This window comes from Homo sapiens, chromosome 7 (assembly GCF_000001405.40).
Source record: "Homo sapiens chromosome 7, GRCh38.p14 Primary Assembly".
NCBI lineage: Eukaryota > Metazoa > Chordata > Mammalia > Primates > Hominidae > Homo > Homo sapiens.
The window spans coordinates 91,324,458-91,346,395 of NC_000007.14; the positions used below are offsets into that span (position 1 = coordinate 91,324,458).

Consider the following 21,938-nt stretch of genomic DNA (forward strand, 5'->3'; position numbering starts at 1 on the left):
ATAGGTTCAGATAGTCTCCACACTGCTATGTGGTTGGAGAGGATTTATGAACAGATAAAGGAAAGTGAGGTACAGAAGCAGCCAGATTTTGATTACAGCTTGCCATTTGTCTTATGTGAACACAGTTTGAACAGTTGGCTGCCTTTGAATGGCCAAAACTCAGTGATTGGTGCAAAAGTAAATTACAGTCTGTTTACATATCCAGTTAAGGTTACTATATATGGAGAAAGCTTCACGTTGGACTTCAAATACGTAAGGAGGTGCTTTAGGCTAAATTTAATTTAGCAAAAGAATGCTAGCTAGGTCTGATTAAGACACTTTACTAAACATGAGACTAAATGCAGTAATAACAGAAACCAAGAATCAGGGGGTTAACACTATGGGGTTGTAAATGTATCCCACATGCTGGGCAGGAAGCAAAGACTTAAGATGTAGCCCGTTCACAATCTGAGAACCATTGAGTGATAAACTCCAAACCCCAGAGGCGGTGTACAGGAAAGATCTTCTGTATTGGATTCTGCATGAAGCAGGAATCAGGACCAGAGCTGAGTCTTTAAGGGTGAGAAGAGTTTGGATAGGCAGAAGAGAGGGGTAGAATGCATCTTAACTAACAGGCTGAGAAAAAACACAGATGGGGTTTAAGTCATGATGATAACATTTGTGAAACAGTTAGCTGACCAAGATGATTGACAGAAGTGCTGGGGAGTGGTAGGAGAGCAGGCTTGGGAGTGGGCAAAGGAGTAAGAACTTGCTATAGGAGGCTACAAGGAATCACTACAGGCTCTTGAGTTGAAGAACGATGTTCTTGGTGAATGATTGGTCTGGCAGAGTGGATCTCTCTCCATCCATCTCCTGGCCAACTCTTGCTCTTTGTATAGCAGCTGAGGTTGGATGGAAATACAGCTAACATTTCTGGAGCTTCCCAGGTGAACAGATCTGCAGATGTGTGGGGCAAGACCCCTCATTCACTCCCTTGTCCGAAAATTAACCAGCATGATGGAGACTAGATCACACACTTTCAAAAACAAACCAAGGCCCTCTTCCCTCTAATATGATTTGCCAGATGACAGATGATCCCAATCCCTGTAATTAGTTAGATACTTTAATTGACTTTCAGTGGCAGTAATAAGTAACTGGAGTCCTGGCTTGTAGAATTTCCTTTCTAATTGTCAGTGTTAAACTACTCATTATAGGGATAAATAGCATACCGCTTTATTTAAACAATTTCCTTCATACATGTAAATTCCAGCGGAAGTTCCCAGTATTTTCAGGCCCTTGGGAGAGCTGTTTGGGGTCTAGCAGCAAGGTGATGCATTTTTGAGGGAGCTGCTTAAGCTGGTTGGCTGTTTCATTTGAATAAGCAAGCCACAAGTTTCCAACACTGACGCACTTCCTACTGCTTCGTTTTTTAAAGGCTGTAGAAAGGATAATTGACCACAGCTTGTCAGCAAGAGAGATTTACTGTCATTAGTGCAAACGCAGATGAATTACTTTAATATCATGGAATATAAAAAATGGCCAGATAGTTTCCTTTCTCAGTAAGAGTACTTAAACAGCTTTTCACACTTCACTTCTGCATTTGGGTGTAAAAGAGGGAGGAAGTCATAAAGACCCATGAGTGGGAGTGGAAGGAGGAGTGGGATTAACTTAGCAGAGGTAGGAAAAGGCAGATCTCAAATTCTCAAATCAAATCCAAGTGAACAGACCGGGGTTGCTTGTTTTAGGGTGGTATAAAAGCTAAACAAGCATTCATTTTTTAAAAGTTCCCACTTTTGATTTCTATTTCCAGTATAGTACTCATTCGGAACATTCTTTTACAACTTCGGTTCTTTGTGTTTTGACTCAATTGTAGAAAGAATTAGAAATATTGCAAGGCATATTTTAAATCCTTTATTAAACCATAGACACCAGCTTGGGAGATCTGAATCGTTTTACTCGGGGCCATGCAAAAATTGCCTGTTGATGTGTTCTATTTTGTTTTGTCTTGCTTTTGAACCGTCCATGTTTCTGAAAATTGTGTATAAGCCAGCCAGGGCCCAAGCACAGAGAATGCCTAGAACCTGGAGCAATGTATTTTCATTTTGCTTCCCCATGGTTCTTGTTGCAAACATATTTGCCTCCTAACTCTTAGAACCCAGTGTAAGCTGCCACTGGCAATTATTTCATTTTGATTTTAGGAAGCAGGGCGGCATCCTGTCTGATCATTGAATCTAGACTTGCTTTATAATCTGTTCTTTGCTTCCGCTAAGATACAAATATGTGGGCCTGGTTCCTGTTGCTATTGTAACTGAAATGGAACTAATCTCACTCGTTTCTGTGTGGCTCAGCACTGCGGGTTAATATCTGTGGATGTTGTTGCCAATTGCTATTGCTCTATTAATTCGTGGTATGTGCTATTTGTTCTTTCGAGAGTTATTTTCTCTTTTTTATTTCTCAAACTCTTTGTGACATACCTGAGAAGTGAAAGTAATAGAAATTTCCTTCTGAAAGGAGGGGAGAAAGTCTGTAGAATCCAACTGCATATGTAGTTACTGTGTATTTGGGTGTTTCCCCTTTGCCGCTGAGTGTCATGGCAATAACATAGAAGGAAATGAGTATTTCATAACATAATCTCATTAATAGCTATGCTGTTTAAAACATATAAACAACAGCATAAACAACCTAACGGCACCACAAGCAATGGTCTCTTCTTGCACTGGCCATCTTGTCTCATGGTTGAAGGTGTGTGGGCTGGACTTTTTGGGATCCGTGAGTGGCGGCAATTCCAGAGACTTGGGGGTTTCTAACATTTCAGGTTAGTTGTTGCTTTACCTACATCCCATTAGTCTAGTGAGGCCTTGTCTCTAAATTGCTTTGAAAGTGTCATATTTTGAGTTTACTAATTCCATTTTCAAAATTCAAATGGAATAGAACTCCCAACCCCCTGGCTATTTGTCCAGACTTTGTATGTTTGTGTGTCACAGAGAAAGACATCATATTTATACATAAAGAAAAAATATAGAGAGAGGATAGAGTTAGAAAGACATTTGAGGAAGTAAATTCAAAATTGTTGAAACACAGTTATAAAGTGCTTTTGCTTCCCCATTCCTACAAGATAGGCAGTAATGGAACTACCCTTATCATTGCAAAATGTGTGTGAAATGATGACAACCTTCACAGGATAAAAAAGAAAATGGCAAGAAATAGCAGTGTACCTGACTAGGTCATATTAGCGTATGATGATTCGTTGTTGTAGCCAGAAGTTATTTCATGTTCTCCAACACAGATTGGATCCAGGCCTGACCAGGATGACAACATTTCATCTTGAATGGATAGTCATGTGTCCTTTTAAATAAAATCTACATGTCCTAGCTCTGCTTGTTACGAAGCTTAACTGGCCCATCATGTCTGGTGGAGTGTCTGAGTCTAAGGCAGGTTGGAAATAATGCAGCACCTCAGATGGGAGATGCTTGCAGAAATGTTGGGAAGCACAGACAGAATGCTGATCACCCCTGTAGCCAAGAGTGTGCAAAGCAAACTTACTCCATTTCCAGGACCAGAATGCAGAGGAAATAAGGCAACTTTTAAATTTAAATATGTCAGCTTGCCACTTTCTCCAGGGGTGGTTTGGCCATACGACAGGTTATAAGGAATTTGAAATCTGAAGAAAGGAAGAAAGAGAGAGAGAGAGAGACAAGGAAAGAGAGAAAGAAAGAAGGAAGGAAAGGAGGGATCAAAGTAAGAGAGAAAGAATAAAGCATTAGATTTAGTTTCTGTGCCTGTTTCATATTTTTGCAATGAAATGCTAAATGAGCTGCATTGAATGTTTCACTTGGTTGATGAGTAAATCCAATTCTGGATATAGTGGGCATGTGGTACATGGGCACACTCTCCTGGATTTCATCTGCCTTGAGGGACACACCACTTGTCACTTTCACCCTTACTCTCCTGACGACTCAGATCCTCTTACTGACATTAGAGAGACCATCAATCCCCAGTGACCTGTGCATGTGTATTGGGGAGGGTTGACTTTTAATATATTCCAGTTTGGCATTAATATGTGTGTACCCACTATTGTTGTGTCTTTCCCCCCAAATTTAAATAATTTTATACAGTGCCAAGAGGTATAAAGATGTAAATGAAAATAACTTTTAATCTTACCAACCAGTGATAACCCATTTAATACTTTGCTAAATATCTTTCTACATGTTTTTGCTATGCAAGTATGCACATAAACACACATAGGCATAAACATACATATATTCTTTCAAAAACCCTCCTTTTTCATTTGGAAACATCCAAATTCCCACGCCCATAACTGTGTTCTACATTATTCTCTCAAATGGTTTCTTAGTATTTATTATAGGGTGGTTGTTTTCTTCATTATTAAAAAGTACTCTGCAACTTACATACTTGGGAATACACCTGTCTACATTTTTATGACATCTTTAGGATAAATTTCTAAAAGTAGACTTGTTGATTTGAAGATAATATGTATCTGAAATTTTGATGTGTGGTGTTCCTTTGTTGTCTTTTAGAAAAAGATATCAATGATATTCATCATGAGTGCATCCATGGGAGAGGGTTTTTAAATATATAAGATAATGATGCTTATACGTTTATTTCCTGCCTTTCCATGGTACAGAAAAATAATTACTATGTAAGATTCTTCTTGAAGGAAAAGTCATGCAATATTCAGATGATTATTTTGTAAGTTAAGTTTCTTTTATGATTCCTGGATTTTCATTATTATTTGCTGTTAAAAAGTAGAATTGTTGATTATTATTTTTCTTTTTATGAGACAGAGTCTTGCTCTGTCACCCGGGCTGGAGGGCAGTGGTGCGATCTCGGCTCACTGCAACCTCTACCTCCTGGGTTCAAGTGATTCTCCTGCCTCAGCCTCCTGAGTAGCTGGGATTACAGGTGTGCACCACCACTCCCATCTAATTTTTGTAGTTGTAGTAGGGACAGGGTTTTGCCATGTTGGCCAGGCTGGTCTTGAACTCCTGGCCTCAGGTGATCTGCCCACCTCAGCCTCCCAAAGTGCTGGGATTACAAATGTAAGCCACTATGCCTGGCCATTTCTTTAAGTTTATTTGTGATTTTCAGTTATAATGTTGTGGTTTTGAACTATTTTGTGTGGGCACAGTGACTTTTGGGTAGTTTACAGGCAGGCATACATGCTGGATTTGCTTTGGAGTTTATATTACAAAACAGCTACATGATTCCTATGGACCATGTAATGTAAATGCAAGTCAAAGATATGAGGTGGTTCATCCCCATTCAGCCTGGAAATGAGACCCCACCCCTTGCCCAGCAGCAGGCAGTGAATATATCCAGTCCTATGTACATGTGAAAGTGTGTGCCAGGAAGACACATGCATATATAGATTTGAAAGTTCTTAGCCCATTGCTAATAGAACATGTACACAGTCTTGTGAATAAATAGGACAGGCAAACTGAGAGTGTCATGTATGAGTGTGGGGAGAGGTGAAGCAAGAGTTACTGTGGCTGGAAAATATGAGAAACTTTGGGGAAAAACTGGGGATAATAGCTGCTTCTCTGAGACACCAACATATCTAGACATATCAGCAAAATAATCAAATTAAGGCAAAACATGTAGTCCCTATGGCAAAACGGAATCTTCAACACAAACTAAACACTTGTGTAAATTCGGTTTTTACTGATTTCAGTTTGTGTGTATATGTGTATGACTGTGAGTTTGCATAGATCTCATTGTTAGGAGTAGGAAGACATACATCACACTGCCTGATATATTTTCCAGTGAAGTTCAGTCATTTAAACATGAAATCATAGCCAACCTCTCTGGGTGAAAACATAAGGCATGAGAACGAGTCCAGCACCACCACCATTATTATCTGTTATCTGGGCCCTTCATTAATATTTATGGAGCCCATAGACTAAGCATAGACCCCACTATCACTCAATGAGCCAACACTGTACTCTGAAAATAGTTTAATCTTGGCTTTTAATGTAAAAGCAACAGTTTTTAAATGTTTGCCAGAAAAAGAAAGTTTCCCAAAAAAAAGTTTCTCAAGATAGGCTACGTGGCTTTACAAAGTTCATTTTTCTTGAATTGAGAGCCCATATCCTGTTATAAAATAACCCTCTAGACTATTTTGGCTCCTCTCCCTATCTAAATGGTCATTTTTTGAATTGCATCCCAGAGGGATAATTTTCTCCATCTCTCATTCTGTCTTCTTTTCTTATGCAAAAGGGAGAAAGGGGTAAAAAAAAAAATCCTACAATTTGCTAAGCATCTCATATATGTCAGGCACTGTGCTAAGAATGTCAAATCATTCAGTGCCACAGTTTTACAAGGTAAGTCATGTCACCCAGCTGCAGAGAAGCTAAACATCTGAGGTTTTAAATCTATTAATACTTGGTGGAGAAGGACTCAAACTTAGGTTATCATAACAACAAAGCCACACGCTTTTTCTCTGAGCAGCCTGAGCAAGCAGCAGAGTTCTCAGGATTCTTCATTTGTCTTTGGTATCCATTCTGTGCTCTGCATCACGGGGGGTGCAAAAGAAGTAAGATGTCTTGGTCTTTGCCTGAGGAGAGGTCCTAGAGCCTCTAGTCCATATTACATCAATTGGCTACCCCCAAAGACAGCATTGGGCAATATTCATTCACAGCCAGACCAGCTGAGATGACTCAAAAGGGAGAAGTCGGTAGAAGTCTGTAAATATCAGCTGCCTTCTTACATGACAATAACAAGCAGATTTAGGACACTAGTTGTTCTTCACAGTAGCCACAGTTTTGTGAATAGTGCCCTCAAAATGTGAAATAGTCTGAATATATTTTTAATTTTCAACATATTTCAAGAGAAATCTTATACTCTTAGTAACTAAAAGAAAAGATTGGGGGTAATTTCCTAGTTGAAAATGTTCTCTTTGCAAGTTGCTTGACCTAATTTGAGTTTTAAGCCAGTCATAGTGATGTTGATGATAACGATGGTGAGATGGCTAAAATGTTGTGACCACTACTCCTTGCTAAATTTTGTGCTAAGCACTTTTCTTGTATTATCACATTTAGTCTTTATGGCAATCCCATGAGGTGTGTACCCGTCTTATAGATGAGGAAACTAAGACCTGGAAAATTAAATGATTCACTCAAGATTTCATAGTGAGAAAGCTGAGCCTTGACTCAAACAAGTAGGCCTATAGAATCCATATATACTCTTCTTTAAGCAGAAGCAGCAAATTGTGCTCTCTACAAATAATTGATCTCATGTTTGCCTAGTAATGGGCCCAGCTCTGCATGTAGGTTGTATGTAATGTGAGGGTCCCTGCTAAGTTGTGTCTATCTGTGCACTTTGGGCCCACCTCACCTCCCTCCACCAGCCTGCTTCCTATTTTATCTATAAATGTCAACATCTGTGTTCTTCCTCAGCTGGTCTGGCTGCGAATGTTCATTGCCTAGTCCTATATTGGGCACAGGCAGTAAAAAAGTCAGGGGATTAATTCCAGAAAGCTGCTACAGTATTGAAAAGTATAGCCTGAAAGGGAACAAAAAGTCCTGGGGCATGACCAGGGTGGAAGAGGAATTTTCTTTTTTTTTTTTTTTTTTAATTTCTTATTTTATTTTATTTTATTTTATTATTATTATACTTTAAGTTTTAGGGTACATGTGCACAATGTGCAGGTTAGTTACATATGTATACATGTGCTATGCTGGTGTGCTGCACCCATCAACTCGTCATTCAGCATTAGGCATATCTCCTAATGCTATCCCTCCCCCCTCCCCCCACCCCACAACAGTCCCCAGAGTGTGATGTTCCCCTTCCTGTGTCCATGTGTTCTCATTGTTCAATTCCCACCTATGAGTGAGAACATGCGGTGTTTGGTTTTTTGTCCTTGTGACAGTTTACTGAGAATGATGATTTCCAATTTCATCTGTGTCCCTATGAAGGACATGAACTCATCATTTTTTATGGCTGCATAGTATTCCATGGTGTATATGTGCCACATTTTCTTAATCCAGTCTATTATTGTTGGACGTTTGGGTTGGTTCCAAGTCTTTGCTATTGTGAATAGTGCCACAATAAACATATGTGTGCATGTGTCTTTATAGCAGCATGATTTATAGTCCTTTGGGTATATACCCAGTAATGGGATGGCTGGGTCAAATGGTATTTCTAGTTCTAGATCCCTGAGGAATTGCCACACTGACTTCCACAATGGTTGAACAAGTTTACAGTCCCACCAACAGTGTAAAAGTGTTCCTATTTCCCCACATCCTCTCCAGCACCTGTTGTTTCCTGACTTTTTAATGATTGCCATTCTAACTGGTGTGAGATGGTATCTCATAGTGGTTTTGATTTGCATTTCTCTGATGGCCAGTGATGGTGAGCATTTTTTCATGTGTTTTTTGGCTGCATAAGTGTCTTCTTTTGAGAAGTGTCTGTTCATGTCCTTTGCCCACTTTTTGATGGGTTGTTTGTTTTTTTCTTGTAAATGTGTTGGAGTTCATTGTAGATTCTGGATATTAGCCCTTTGTCAGATGAGTAGGTTGCAAAAATTTTCTCCCATTTTGTGGGTTGCCTGTTCACTCTGATGGTAGTTTCTTTTGCTGTGCAGAAGCTCTTTAGTTTAATTAGATCCCATTTGTCAATTTTGGCTTTTGTTGCCATTGCTTTTGGTGTTTTAGATATGAAGTCCTTGCCCATGCCTATGTCCTGAATGGTAATGCCTAGGTTTTCTTCTAGGGTTTTTATGGTTTTAGGTCTGACAGGTAAGTCTTTAATCCATCTTGAATTAATTTTTGTATAAGGTGTAAGGAAGGGATCCAGTTTCAGCTTTCTACATATGGATGGCCAGTTTTCCCAGCACCATTTATTAAATAGGGAATCCTTTCCCCATTGCTTGTTTTAGCATTCTCCCATCTATGTCTTATCCTCATTGACTCATGATATCTTTGGGAACCATTTAGCAGTTGAACCTCAAGTGACTGGACGCAGAACAGGTGAGCTGCCTAAGTTAGGAAACCATCCCTGAATGCTCATCATAGGTTAAGAGGAGAAAGTACAGGAGAGGTTGTTAGACTGCAGAAGGCAGGACTTTGTTGATGAACACCTACTTGTAAGTGCATGAGATGGGTGCTTTCCTATGTGCAGAGAGATTTGCAGTGTCTATATGAATGATAGACATACCAGTCCCTGACCCATATGAAACATAAAGAAAATAATAAATTCTACCACAAATCAACCAATATTAATTCATTTTAACACAAATCAACCAGTACCAAAATAGAGCCAAGGAGTTGGAGGGGATGAAGCAAAGAAGACAAAGTGCAATCAAATGCATGCCCTAATTCCTTCTTATTACATCATTTTGACTAACTCTTTCTAACACTTTTGCATTCACATGAACACTCATTGAACACCTACTTTGAGTTTGGCACCATGACAAGAAAACAAACAAGTTATGGACTTAGAAGATATAGACTTATGGTGGAGACAGAGACATGGAATAATAACCCAAAGTAGCTCATCTTCCTAGAGGTAAGATTAAAGGATGGAGGTCCTTATAGAGGTGGTGACTTTAGTCTGGATCTTGTGGCTGGGGGCATTTCACATTATGAGAGGGTCAAAAACAAGCAGCCAACAACTTGTTTGAAAAAAGCAGGAATTCCAGTATGAGGTGAATATAAGCATGGGTTTAGAGTTAGGGCTGGGAACGGTAAGAGGGATAAAGTTCTGGAGGAGCCTGGAGGCTGTGCTTGGAATTTTGGATTATCCTAAAAGTTGCTGAAATCCCATGGAGATATTTCAGCCAAGAAGTGATATGGTCTGTTTTTATCAGAGCTCATCTGCCTTCCATGTGATGGACTGACTGGATATGGAAGATATTTGGGTGGCCTCTTCCCAGGTGTATCATCTCATTTAAACTGCAAACCCAAAGAGCTCTATTCTCACTCATAAAAGGCCACTAGATCTGGACTGTTCCTAGTCAGCTCTGGTCCTTTCAGCGTTAGTCTGAATTATCTTTTCCCAAAGTTAGCTTGCCGTCTGTGGTTCTTTGCTGAGAAAGCTTCTGGATCAAAACATTTATCTGGAACAGGCATTTGGGGCTCATCTCCAGGTCTTCTAAACTGATGGGGACAGAGAGGGACAAGAGGTGGTAGGGAAAGGGAAATAGGCCCTCTTGGTGGCTTCTCTGCCTCTGATAAAACCTTTCCAAGAAGAAAACATTTAAGAACCAGACACGCTTTTAAAAATACAGAGCCCATAAAAGTCATGGAATTTTGGAGCTAAAAGAGGCCTCAGAGAGCTGGTGTCTGCTTTTCAGGATCAGGATACTAGAAAGAGTACAGGAATTGAAATAGAGATCCTGGTGTATCTAGGACTGCTTATGCGACTTTAGGCAAATGACTTAACTTCTCTAAACTGCCACTTCACCTGTTAATTAAGGATAATAATACCCACTTCTCAAGGTGTTATGAGGAGTAAATTAAATGCTTAATGTGAAGTAGGTGAAACCATGAACAACACGGTTGTGACTTCAGATAAAGAAATGGACACACAGGGAGTTTAAATGGGCATATGGAAAAGTGGTCATTTGACTGCTGTGAGTAGATTTCTTCACAACCCTAACCTATGAAACTCCACTGTGGCTTTTCCAAGTCTGTAAGCATTACAAAGCTGATGTGATGCTTTTAATAAAAATGATGAAACCTTTCTACATGCACTGTGTTCTCATGTTCCCTGAATTTTTTATGTTTCTTGTTTTAAATCAGCTGATGCCATCGAAACCTGATCATCTATCAATCTTAGTTTTAGTGGTGAAGACTCATGGTGGATTTTGCCTAGCAGTTCATAATTTGTCTCAAGGGTGCCTGAGTGTCTCAGCGTCTCCAGAAAGCCCTTCGTGGTTGTTTCTGGAATGAGTCCCAGTGCTCACCTCACACAGGTGTGTAAGCGCTCCAGCCTCCCTGACTTATCCACCAGCCTCCACCACTCGATCACCAGTTAAAGATGGCTGCCTACTTGTTGATTCATCTTCTGCCAGCAATTGGGCAACAAAATATGATGATTCCCTTGACTGTTTTATCCCTTTACACATCAGCCTGGTCTCTTTTTCTTGTTACTGTGCAGGCCTATTCTTCCTCTTCCTCCAGCCATTGCCTGTTTGACATGAGATGTGTCCTTCGATAAGTCAGTAGTGGATTACCTCAAGGCAGGGGACAACTAAGGCTCCAATAGAAAGGATGAATTGCAAGAATGGGACAGAGATCATATTCTCAAAAGGACTTTTTAATAAAAACTCACTGAAAGCAATTAATTTTTCTTGATGATTTAATTTTCTGCCTGGACAAAGCTGCTGTTTTAACTGTGTTTACAAAGCTTCTACTGCTGGCCATGGCTTCTGGAATTGGTCTCTGATGGCTGGATCTTTCACACTGGAGCCCTGGTTTTGATTATCCAAGAGATGAAAGAATCACTCCCTAAACCTTCCGTTGTCCACTACAGAGCTTCTCTTCCACCCCACCATGCTGCCTTTCCTGTCAGGATGACAACAGCAAAGACAGCAATAATAAAAGCTAATGCTTACATTAGTGCTTGTTATGAACCCAAGGCTTCCCTAAGCATTACATCTATGTTAACTCATTAACGCCTACTCACAACCTCCTTTATAACACCTAGGAAGCTGGGAATAGTAACTTCTGGTCAGAGCTGTGACAGAGGCCATTGTCAGACTGTAGAGATTTTTGGTGCCAAAAAATTCTTCTCAACAGGGGGCGATTTGGCCAATGTTTCGAAACATTTTTGATTGTCTCAACTGGGGGGATGCTACTAGCTTCCAGTGCATAGAGGCAAAAGATGCCACACAACATCTGGTAACCCTCCACAACAGTTATCCAGCCCAAAATGTCATCAGTGCAGAGGTTGAGAAACCCTAGTGCCACATGATTTAAGTGCTTTTGCCCAAATTGCCTAAATTCAAATCCTGCTTCTGCAGCTTACTAGCTGTGGATCCTGGGCAAGTTGCTTAAGCTCTTTGTGTGTCCATTTTCCCATCTTTAAAATGGGAATGAAAATAGTAATATTACGTCATGGGGCTGGTGCATGATTAAATGTATTAATGTAAGTAAAATGTTTAGCGCAGTGTCTGGCATGTGGTAAGGGCTCCATATTTTAGCTTTTATTTTTATTATGTAGAGCCTTTCTGGCCTTAGGGAGACAGATTTAGGCTTCTTTTTAGTCTTGATAGAAGTCTTGAGAGGACATTTTCAGTCCATGCCATCCCAGGGAATAGTTTTTGTCCATCTAAATCCTAAAGAGAATACTCTATCTTAGCCCACTAGGAAGTTTAGGAAAAGTTATCCTTGATGTGTTTTAATGCAATGTCTCTTTGTCATCTTTTTTTCTGCACCCTGTTTTACAATAAAAAGCCAGTGTTTCTGTCTTGCACTTGCATTTTATTGTTTTGCTCTTTTCATGCCTACCTTTAGAGGCCTAGGCTGTTCCACCTGTTCCCCCTGCATCATCACACCATGGGGTGTGCTTAGTGAGAAGGGAGCCTGCCATGGTTTCATCCAAGTCCACGTCTCTCTTTAGGATTGGTGCATTCTCAGCATGTAGGAAGAAAACCATGGCTGATTGTCAGGCAGAATCATGGGCTAAAATTACTGGGATCATCTAAAAACTGAGACCAGGAGAGTGTCACTAACCTGCTTAAGTTAACTGACAAGTGAGTGAGTGAGTTAGGAATATATCTAGCCTCCAGTCTCCCCCTTCCATGTTCTTTCCAATCCTCACTAGGGAAATGTCAGTGAACTGTTTATGCCTACATCTCAGGTCTTCAGTGTGTCATGCAATTATTTACTATGTTTCATGGTGGGAAACCCTCTTTGAACCTGAGTTGGGTTCAAATTACTGAGTTGGGTTCAAGTGCAGGATTATGATTCAGACTGGCTGGACATTTCTGAGAAAACCTGCTAAAAAATTACCAGAAGAGGAAGCTTGAAAAGTGTGACCTTATAAAGCTGTGGTAAGTCATACAAGCTTGATAAGTGTGACCTTCTAAAGCCATGATAAGTTATGGTGGTCAGGAGTAAGGAGTAGACCTGAGTACAGAATGGTGTCCATCACTCAGTTTCCATGAAAATGAGTCCCCTCTGAGCCCAGTGGGTTTATAGGAATCCTGTGGTAAGCAGGGGCAGAATAAGTAAATTTAAAAGATTTGTTTCAGGAAAACATAGTGCCCATGAAACACAGCTATGTGTCTACCTAACACAGCTATGTGTCTACCTAACAGAGTGTGAAACGAATCAGAACACTCAGAAGTTTGGCATGTAGAAGGTTCTGGTGCCTCAGCTGATGGGAAAACATATGTTCCAGGAGGTCACAGCAGTACCCATCAATTACATGGGAGAAGAAAATGGTAAAGGAAGTGGGGCTCTGGCTAGAGCTGACAAGAAACCCTCACTGAGGACCCAATAGAAATTCCTTGGAAGCGTTTCTGCAGGCAAGAGCCTGTGAATTCTGACGTGTAATGTTACCACAATGAGGAAATGGATAGCATTTGAAATTTCACATAGATTTGGGTACCTCAAAATGCTAATAAATGTGGCAATGTTTTACACTTTCCTTTTAATACTTCAAATTGGCATTTTCTTCTGGCATGCATTGTAGATTATTACTTTCAAAAACCTGCAACACATTGCTAGAAACAAAATACTTACAGAACAGCCTGAAATTCTGGAGGAATGGTCTCATCACGTCATTTTTTAAATTACCTCAGTATCAGACAAGGCATTCATAGCAATCAAAACACATTAATTTTAAGTGACATTCTGTATTTTAGACTACAACTACTATATCCATATTGAGGTACTTTAAATGAGGTCCACAGAAATGTCAGGCAAAGTACAACTGCCAAAATTATAAGATAACTGTCAAATGCTTGAATGGCAGCCCAGGGCTGGGCCTCAAAATGTTAGAAAGGAGCTTCCCCAGAGAACTTCAAACTGTGCAAGCAAAGATATATTTTGGAATTCCATCCACTTGAAATTTGTGTCTACAATATGTTGACTACCTACGTTTACTTGGCTCCAGACTAGGTAATGAAAGTGATGGGGCTGCTAGGAAGCTGACACGAGGAGACTGGTGAAGAGAATTAGTGTCTCAGTTATCTATTACTGCCAAACAAACCATCCCAAAACATAGGAACTTAAAACAACCATTTTATTATTCCTTATAATTCTGTGGGTTGGCTGGGCTCAGTTGGATGATTCTTCTGATGCTCTCACTCACAGTCTCTTATGTAGTAAAATATGGTGGATTGAAGTGGATTATCCAAGATGTCTGTCTCCACTCACTTGTCTCAAGTGTTGACAGGGTTGACTGGAAGGCTGAAACATCCATCTCTTTTTCTCTCTCCATATGGTCTGACTATGAGTCTAGCTTGGTCTATTAAAATAGGCTCCTTAAATTTGAATCTCATGAGCACAAAAACAGAAGCTTCCAGGTCTTCTGAAGGCACAGACCCAGAACTGGCACAGTGTCACTACGATCCTATCTTATTGGGAAAAATGAGGCAGAGGACTAGCCACAAGTCCACAAATACTTGGAGGTGTGGGCCACTGGGGCCATCTTTGGAGACTGGCTGTCATAGACAGCCAAGACAAAAGCTGTAAAATGAAGATAGGGAAAGTGAGCTCTGAGCCTGGGCAGATGAAAACAGCTAATTCAAAAATAGATTAAGCATGTTAACCAGTATGTAAGGATACTCCCAAAGTACAGAAAGTTGTACCCCCTGCATGAATATTTATTTATTTAAATCCTGAAAGACATATTGGATGACAAAAAATTGGATGAGAATAATCTTGGGTTTCTCATCCTGAAAATGTACTTCTGGTAAGGATGACATTATCTTATTACATGAAAAGAGAAACATGACTTTATCCATTTGCAAGATAAGAGATAGAAGCCAGATAAGAGGGATATGTTTTAAAGTAAAGAAAAGCTTGAAGGGAGAGAGGCTAAGAAACTTCTTACTGAATGCCCTTCATTTTCTTGGGCAGCTAGAAGAATAATTATTTACTGATGGTTCAGAAGGGCAGAGTTGCATTTAGCATATTCTGTGGACAATGGGAAATGCTTCCAAATAAAGGGACATAAAATGCTGAGAATCACCAGCCCCAGGTGATGTGGGACTCATAAACATGCAGGGTGGCCCATAGCCACACTGTTTGCTCTACGGGTTTCTTCTACAGCACATTGGCAGGCTGGGACACAATCAGAAATCAGTAGTTAGATCCCCAAAAAGAACGCACTGTGAGTACTGGTGGTGTGTTCCTCCTTCTTTCCTTTGGGAAGACTAATGGAGACAGCTTAAGGATCTTGGAGGATCCTCCATCCATTAGCTGTCTTTGAAGAAGCATTCAGCTTCTTCCCACAGGTGACTTCTTCCAAAAAACTCTGCATGGAAAACAAGGCTTACAGGATTCTTTCCAGTTGACTTCAAGATGGAAAGCTTTTTCAGGATTCCAATTTTTTCCTTATGCATTTACAAATTTGCTATAAGCAAGTGTAGGGCAGTGTCTTACACTCAGGATTAGTAACATAATTTTGGGAGCTCAATGCAAAATTATAACATAGGACCTTCATTCAAATACAAAGAATTTCAAGATGGTAATACAAGAGCAGTAAACCAATCCTGAGGTCCTTCTAAGTGAGGGCCTTGTGCACTTGCACAGGTTGCAGACTCATGAAGTTGGCTCTGCTTATGCCCTTATCTCAAGCATAAGCAATTTACTGGCTATAGAACTTTCTTCTTCCTTCCCTTCTCTTACCCTCAAGGGCAGCTTTGCGGGGCTACCAGAATGTTTGTAGCTTCAGACATGGCTAAGGCCAGTCCAAGGGACCATTGTCCTCAGGTTTCATCCCTGACAAAACAGGCGGATTCTTTACAGATATTTTCCATTTTCTTCTTTAGGTGCCTGCTGCCCTCCCTTAGGCCTCACTGCTAAGGAAGCTATACCCTCTTATAGTTCTCTGAGGGCTGGGGGTCCCCCCACAGTACTCTCCTGGCCATCTCAGAGGACAGAGCATTAAACCACAGGAGTTATTCTTGAGCCTTGAAATGTAATGGAATTTGTCCTGCTGGATTTCAGGCTTGTTTGGGACCTACGACTTCTTTTTCCATTCCAATTTCTACCTTTTGGAACAGAAGTATCTCTTCTATGCCTATTCCATGTATGTACGTATTTTAGAAGCAGTTAACTTGTTCTCTAGGCTTCACAGGTCCACAGATGGAATTTTACTCCAGTATGGACTGAGCCCAGAATCTTGCCTATTCTTGATTTAGATGATTTAGCAGCTGAGAGTTGGGACTTTTTGAGTTGATATATTTAGATGAGACTTTGGACTTAGGGTTGATTCTTTTAAGGATTTGGGAAGAGGGTGGATGTATTTTGCACATGGGACAGATGTGAATTTGGAGGAGGCCATAGAGTGTTCTGTACTGGATTGAATTTTGTCCCCTCAAAAGACGTGTTCAAACCTTAACCCCTAGAATCTGTGAATGCGACCATATTTGGAAACAGGGTCTTTGAAGATGTCATCAAATTAACATAGGGTCATACTGGCTTAACCCAATGACCCATATCCTTATAAGATAAGAAAAATCTGGACACAGAGACACACAGGAAAAAGTCCATGGGATGATGGAGGCAAAGACTGGAGTGGTACAGCTGCAAGCTAAGGACACTAAGGATTTCTGACACCCACCAGAATCTAAGGGAGGAGCATGGAACAGATTCTGCCTCAAAGTTTCCAGAAGGAAGCAAATCTACCAACACCTTGCTTTCAGAATCTAGACCTCAGAACAATGAGAAAATGAATTTGCAAGGTTTTAAGCAGATACAGACACAGTTTCACTTATGATCATTTGAAAATGATCACTATAGCTAAGCATGGAGAATGGATTTTAGGGGAGCAAGAATATCAGTAGAGAGACAAGTCAAGAGGCTTCTGCACTGGTCCAAGCATGAGATGATGGTGGCTCAGATTAGGGTGGTAGTAACAGAAATACAGACAAGTAGTTGGACCCATATACATTATGAAGATTGAGCCGATAGGATGAGCTGGTGGCTTGGAGCAGGAGGGGAAGGAAAGTAGAGGAATCCAGGATGACTCCAAGGTTCTTGATGGATCCCTGGGTGGAGGCTGGTTATCACATGCTCAGTGGGAAGGCTCAAAATGAGCAGGTCTGGGGAAGCTCAAGAGTTCTCATGATTGAGCTCCTCATGAAATTTCCCATGGAAATATCAAGCAGTAGAGTCCTTTCAAGTCTGATTCCTCAGCTAGTCTAGAGGGCAGTTAGATGTCCAAAACACTCAGCAGACTCCCAATGGGAGGCATCATGTGAAACAGGACAGAGGAGAATCTGATGACATTCTTGGAACTCTTGGATTCAGCCCATTCCTAACGTCCAGCCCACCTCTTCAAGTTTTCATTAAGTCAACAACTTCTCTCCTTTCATATTGCTTAATTTAAGTTGGGTTTCTGTCATTTGCCTCCAAAAGAGGCCTGCGTACAATTGAAATACAATTCAGTAAATGGTAAAAGAACTGATGACATAGTAAGGTGCTTTATACATTGATTGAGAAAGTTTTTTTAAAAAACAAAGTTTATAGTCTATTTCTACCTGTTTCCAAAGTGGGGAAATGATTTGAGGTCTCTATAAGCGGGAATATGATATTAAAATATTATTTTCTTAAGCAAACATTTTTTAAAATCCCAGTTACTTATTTATAAAAAATGAGACCAAGGTGAGTTGCTCCCTGTTCTGACTCTTCACCCTGGGACACTGCTTAGCTGCCTCCCCTCATGGGGTACCGTAGAAGGAGCAGATGTCTGGGAGTAACGGCCTATCTTTAAAGCTGACTCTCTCATCAGCTGCAATTCTCCCAGGCTTTAGATATAGGTCTCATCTGCCAACAGCTGGTTCATGCCTTAGACCCCAGATCCTGCCAGGCAAGTCCTTGAGGCTCACAGTCCTTCTCCGCACAGGAAGAGCGGTGTGGCACTTGTTTCTGAGGCGCTGCAGGAAAGGAAGAGCGGGGCCAGGTTGGGAGTATTGTTAGCTTAGCCTTATTAATAAAATAGGGTTAATGATTTATTCATGGCTGGGACAATGCGGCTCCGCTCTGGAGTACAGCACAGAACGGTTTCATTAGAGATGAGCAGCTGCTGTGGAAGAGATGTGAGCCTTCCGAGAAACAGTCTCGGGCTGCTACTATGTATGAGGCAGTGAGCAGATTTATCTGACCAAGTCAGAGCTTGGAGGCAATTATTTGTATACTGTGGATGTTGTAGGATAAATGCCGGCAATGGAGGTCCCTGGAAAGATGCCCCTTGCTTTCCCATTTCTCATCTAATGAGTGTTTGTTCACCTTCTTGCTTTATCCTCTCTTCCTCAGTACCTGGAAGATGCCCGAGTTTGTAATTCAAGATGTGTTATCTGGGGAATATCAGTATAATACACATCTGAACGTGATCCCCATCAAAGGGAGATCATCCCTGGAAGCAGAAGAGAGAAATAGTATTTGGGCTTTTCTGGTGCTAGGCTAAGCGTACACTATTTTCAAAGATTAAATCATTTAAAATCATATATCTTCCTTCCCAAATGAACCGTGGAATTTTTATAAATAGTTAGAAAAGGGATTTAATACACTGCAGAATGCTGATAAATAACTGAGTGAGATAATGTTTTTTAAAAAATGCCAATTACTGTCACTCTTGTTAAGGACAGGCTAGATGTCTGTTAGTTCATCTGCTTGGTGGATGATTAGTTGGTTGATGTGGTTCACAGGGCAAACTGAGCCAGGATTTGACAATCTGCAGAAAAACAAAGGTAAGAGAAATCACTTCCCAGCAAACAAAATCAGCCTTGGCTGAAATGGACAAAAATCAGATTTATTTACTGCCATGTTGCTGTTCTTGCTTTATTGCCCCCATCTGAGCTTGCCCAGCCTCCCCTATGACTTCAGGAGATTTAGATCAAATGTCAGAGAGGAGTGCTGGGCTTTTCCCCTTTGGTGCCTGACTAGAGGGGAGAATTGAAGGCCACAGGAGGCATTGAAGAAAATCTCATTGTTGGTGTATATGCTTCCACACAGCAAGCCTTCCTGAGGGACTCCCCTCCCCTCTGCTCAGCTTCCTCGAGAAGAGATCAAATGTTTCAAAGCACTTCCACCTTTACTAATTTTTAATGCTTCTGCCAGACTTAGACTTGCCCACTGGAAAAAAAAATCTACGCTTGTTGAAACAGCCAAAAATAAAAGTGATCCTCTAACAGTAGTACACTTAACTTCCTCTACAACTATCAGCAGGAGCCAAGAAGTATAGCATTTGCCCAATATATTAAGCATTAAAAATGTCTTGGGGAAATGATCACACTAGAAATCAGAATATGTTTAAATACAGTTCTCAAAATTCAGAGTCTCCTTACGAAAGAATCAAAGAGGCGATCACCCTGATCCTTACCTGCAACTTCTCCAGCTTCTGGCCCCACCCTGACCATTCCTTTCCTTTGCTCCTTTGCCCAGTTTCCCCCCAAAACCACCCACCAAGGTCTATGTGGGAACCAGGAATGTAACCCTAGGGTTTGGTTTCCCAGGCCATCAGGAGATAACATTGCCTATCAGCCAAAAAAATAAAGCTTCCTGACTGCAGTTGCAGAAATTATAGCTAATTATACGCTCCATGCTTCCTGCAAAATATATATATTTTAAGCTGTTGGGCTGACTTTCTCCCTTGGCTGTATTTAAAGGTTAGTTTCTGACCTGCTTCCTGGTTTAATGGAAGAGTTTAAATATTACAAATCATTACTTGATTCTAACGAATTATATCTCCCCTGGCACCTCACAAACTCCTTATCATGCCAGAGGAAATAGTTGGAAAGAACAGGGAGTCTCCAAGATAATAAACAGAATAATGTGCCATAGGGTTGTAGGTTTCAGGATCCCCGGCTTCTTGGGTGGTTGAAAGCTTTTGGCCCTCAGCCTCACACTCAGCCGAGCACCTGAGGCATGTGGCTAAGCAGCATGAACTCCCACTCCCCCGTCTTGCACGATTGTTCACTCAGCTTAATTGTCAGCTCCTGCTAAGAACATGTAACATCTCATTTTCCCAGAGATTGTGGAAGTGTTGAGCTTTGCTTGTGGCCAAGTTGGGTAGCTGAATACACATCGTTTCCTTCGTTGATGCACAAAGGCAGGGACTGTCTAAATCTATCTCTGTACGTAGAGGCCTTTTATTGAATACCAGTTTCCAATTCTAGTGATGATCTGGACCCAAACGGTTTCCCTTTGTGTGTAATTGTGTGGGTAGATATTCTCATCCAACTCTGCCTATTTGCATACATTGCCAATCTTATTAAATTGAAAGAAGTAACCAAAACACATGTACACAATGACAAAAGTGATATTCAAGGCATGGAAGAAAGGAACACATGAAAGGCCCTTCTCTCTCCTCAGGGACTAGAGGGAAGAAATTAGTCTCTTGATTCGAGCTAAGCAGAGTACAGCAAGGTAAGACTGTGGAGAGCTCGATTAGCCTTGGTAACTGAATTGTGAACTTCCATCTTTAGTTGTTTGACTAAAACACCCATGTGGAAAGTGAAGAATCCAACCAAGCGTACAGATGATTTGTTTGTGTTGTACTAAGTGCTCTACTTTTCCTCTCGGTGGCAAGCAGATTTGAAAGGGAGATGAGTAACCATCGAAGTATCAATGATGCATCTCATGTCTCATGACACTGAATTCTCTTGCAATCTACCTGAACTATAAATAATAAAACTTCTGAAATCTAGCACTATTTTTAGAAAGGATAAGCCTTGTGAGTGTATGGGTTTAGGCTGCTGAGGTGATATGACTGAAAGGTCTACCTTATTCCACAACCTATTCAAATATCTTACACTGTTTTGTGCAAGTAATTCCATCATTAGAAGCTAATTTATTCATTTTTTCCTCAGGAGATTCTTTATTAAAACTCAAAAGCCTCTGGGAGAGGTAATTCACCTTGGGAAGATAAATTTATCTGAAATGTTTCTAAGATGATGAGTAAGGCAAGGGCCTCAGTAAAGTATCTATGCCCCACAGAGGAGACTGTAAAATTGGAAATGCCCAGCAGGTGCTGAAAGAACCTGAAAACAAGACTGGCCCTCTCTGCAGTATGCAAAGTGTCAGGAGCAGTTCCCTTGTAAACTATTAGCAAAAAGGAGAAATGGCCTCCTCCGGGATAGTCACTAACCACACCCAAACAGAGAGGAAGGTACTCAAATAGAAAATTGAAGTTTTTCATTTGTTTGTTTTATAGAATACTACACTAATAAAATTAAGTTTGGAGCCTTTTATTTATTTTATTTTATTTTTTTAGATGGAGTCTCACTCTGTCACCCAGGCTGGAGTGCAGTGGTGCAATCTAGGCTCACAGCAACCTCTACCTCCCAAGTTCAAGTGATTCTCCTGCCTCAGCTTCCCAAGTAGCTGGGATTACAAGCATGTGCCACCATGCCCAGCTAATTTTTGTATTTTTGGTAGACATGGATTTCACCTTGTTGGTCAGGCTAGTTTGGTCTCGAACTCCTGACTTCAAGTGATCCACCGCCTCGGCCTCCCAACGTGCTGTGATTACAAGCATGAGCCACCACGCCCATCCTGAAGCCTTTTGCTTTTAAGGTTTCCATTTCTGAGAGAGAGAGAGAGAACCCAAATGGGAGGGAAAATTGTCAATAGGGCCTGTGGAGACACTTTCTCTGAGAAAAGTTAGGTAAAACCAAAACTCTAGTAATGATAGGGTTGAGGGTAGATACAATGAGAGCAAAAGCCAATTTACAAAGAGGATCACATGTAAAAGGGTGCATGTCTGTTTTTTGTTTTGTTTTGTTTTGCTTTGTTTTGTCCAGAGCATAGGAGACTACAGGG

General features: G+C 40.8%; 1 long non-coding RNA gene across 3 annotated transcripts in view; it reads left to right on the top strand.

Annotated features, from left to right (window-relative positions):
• The window catches only part of LINC02932 (long intergenic non-protein coding RNA 2932), a 204,101-nt gene that overhangs the window by 13,133 nt on the left and 169,030 nt on the right, over positions 1-21,938 (top strand). The window contains exons 5-6 of one of the 3 annotated variants that reach the window (NR_183376.1): positions 9,397-9,504; positions 11,098-11,280. The exons of the other annotated variants lie outside the window; for them this stretch is intronic. This is a non-coding gene — a long non-coding RNA (long intergenic non-protein coding RNA 2932). Of the gene's footprint in view, positions 1-9,396; positions 9,505-11,097; positions 11,281-21,938 lie in introns of those variants that run through there. 3 annotated transcript variants of the gene reach the window in all.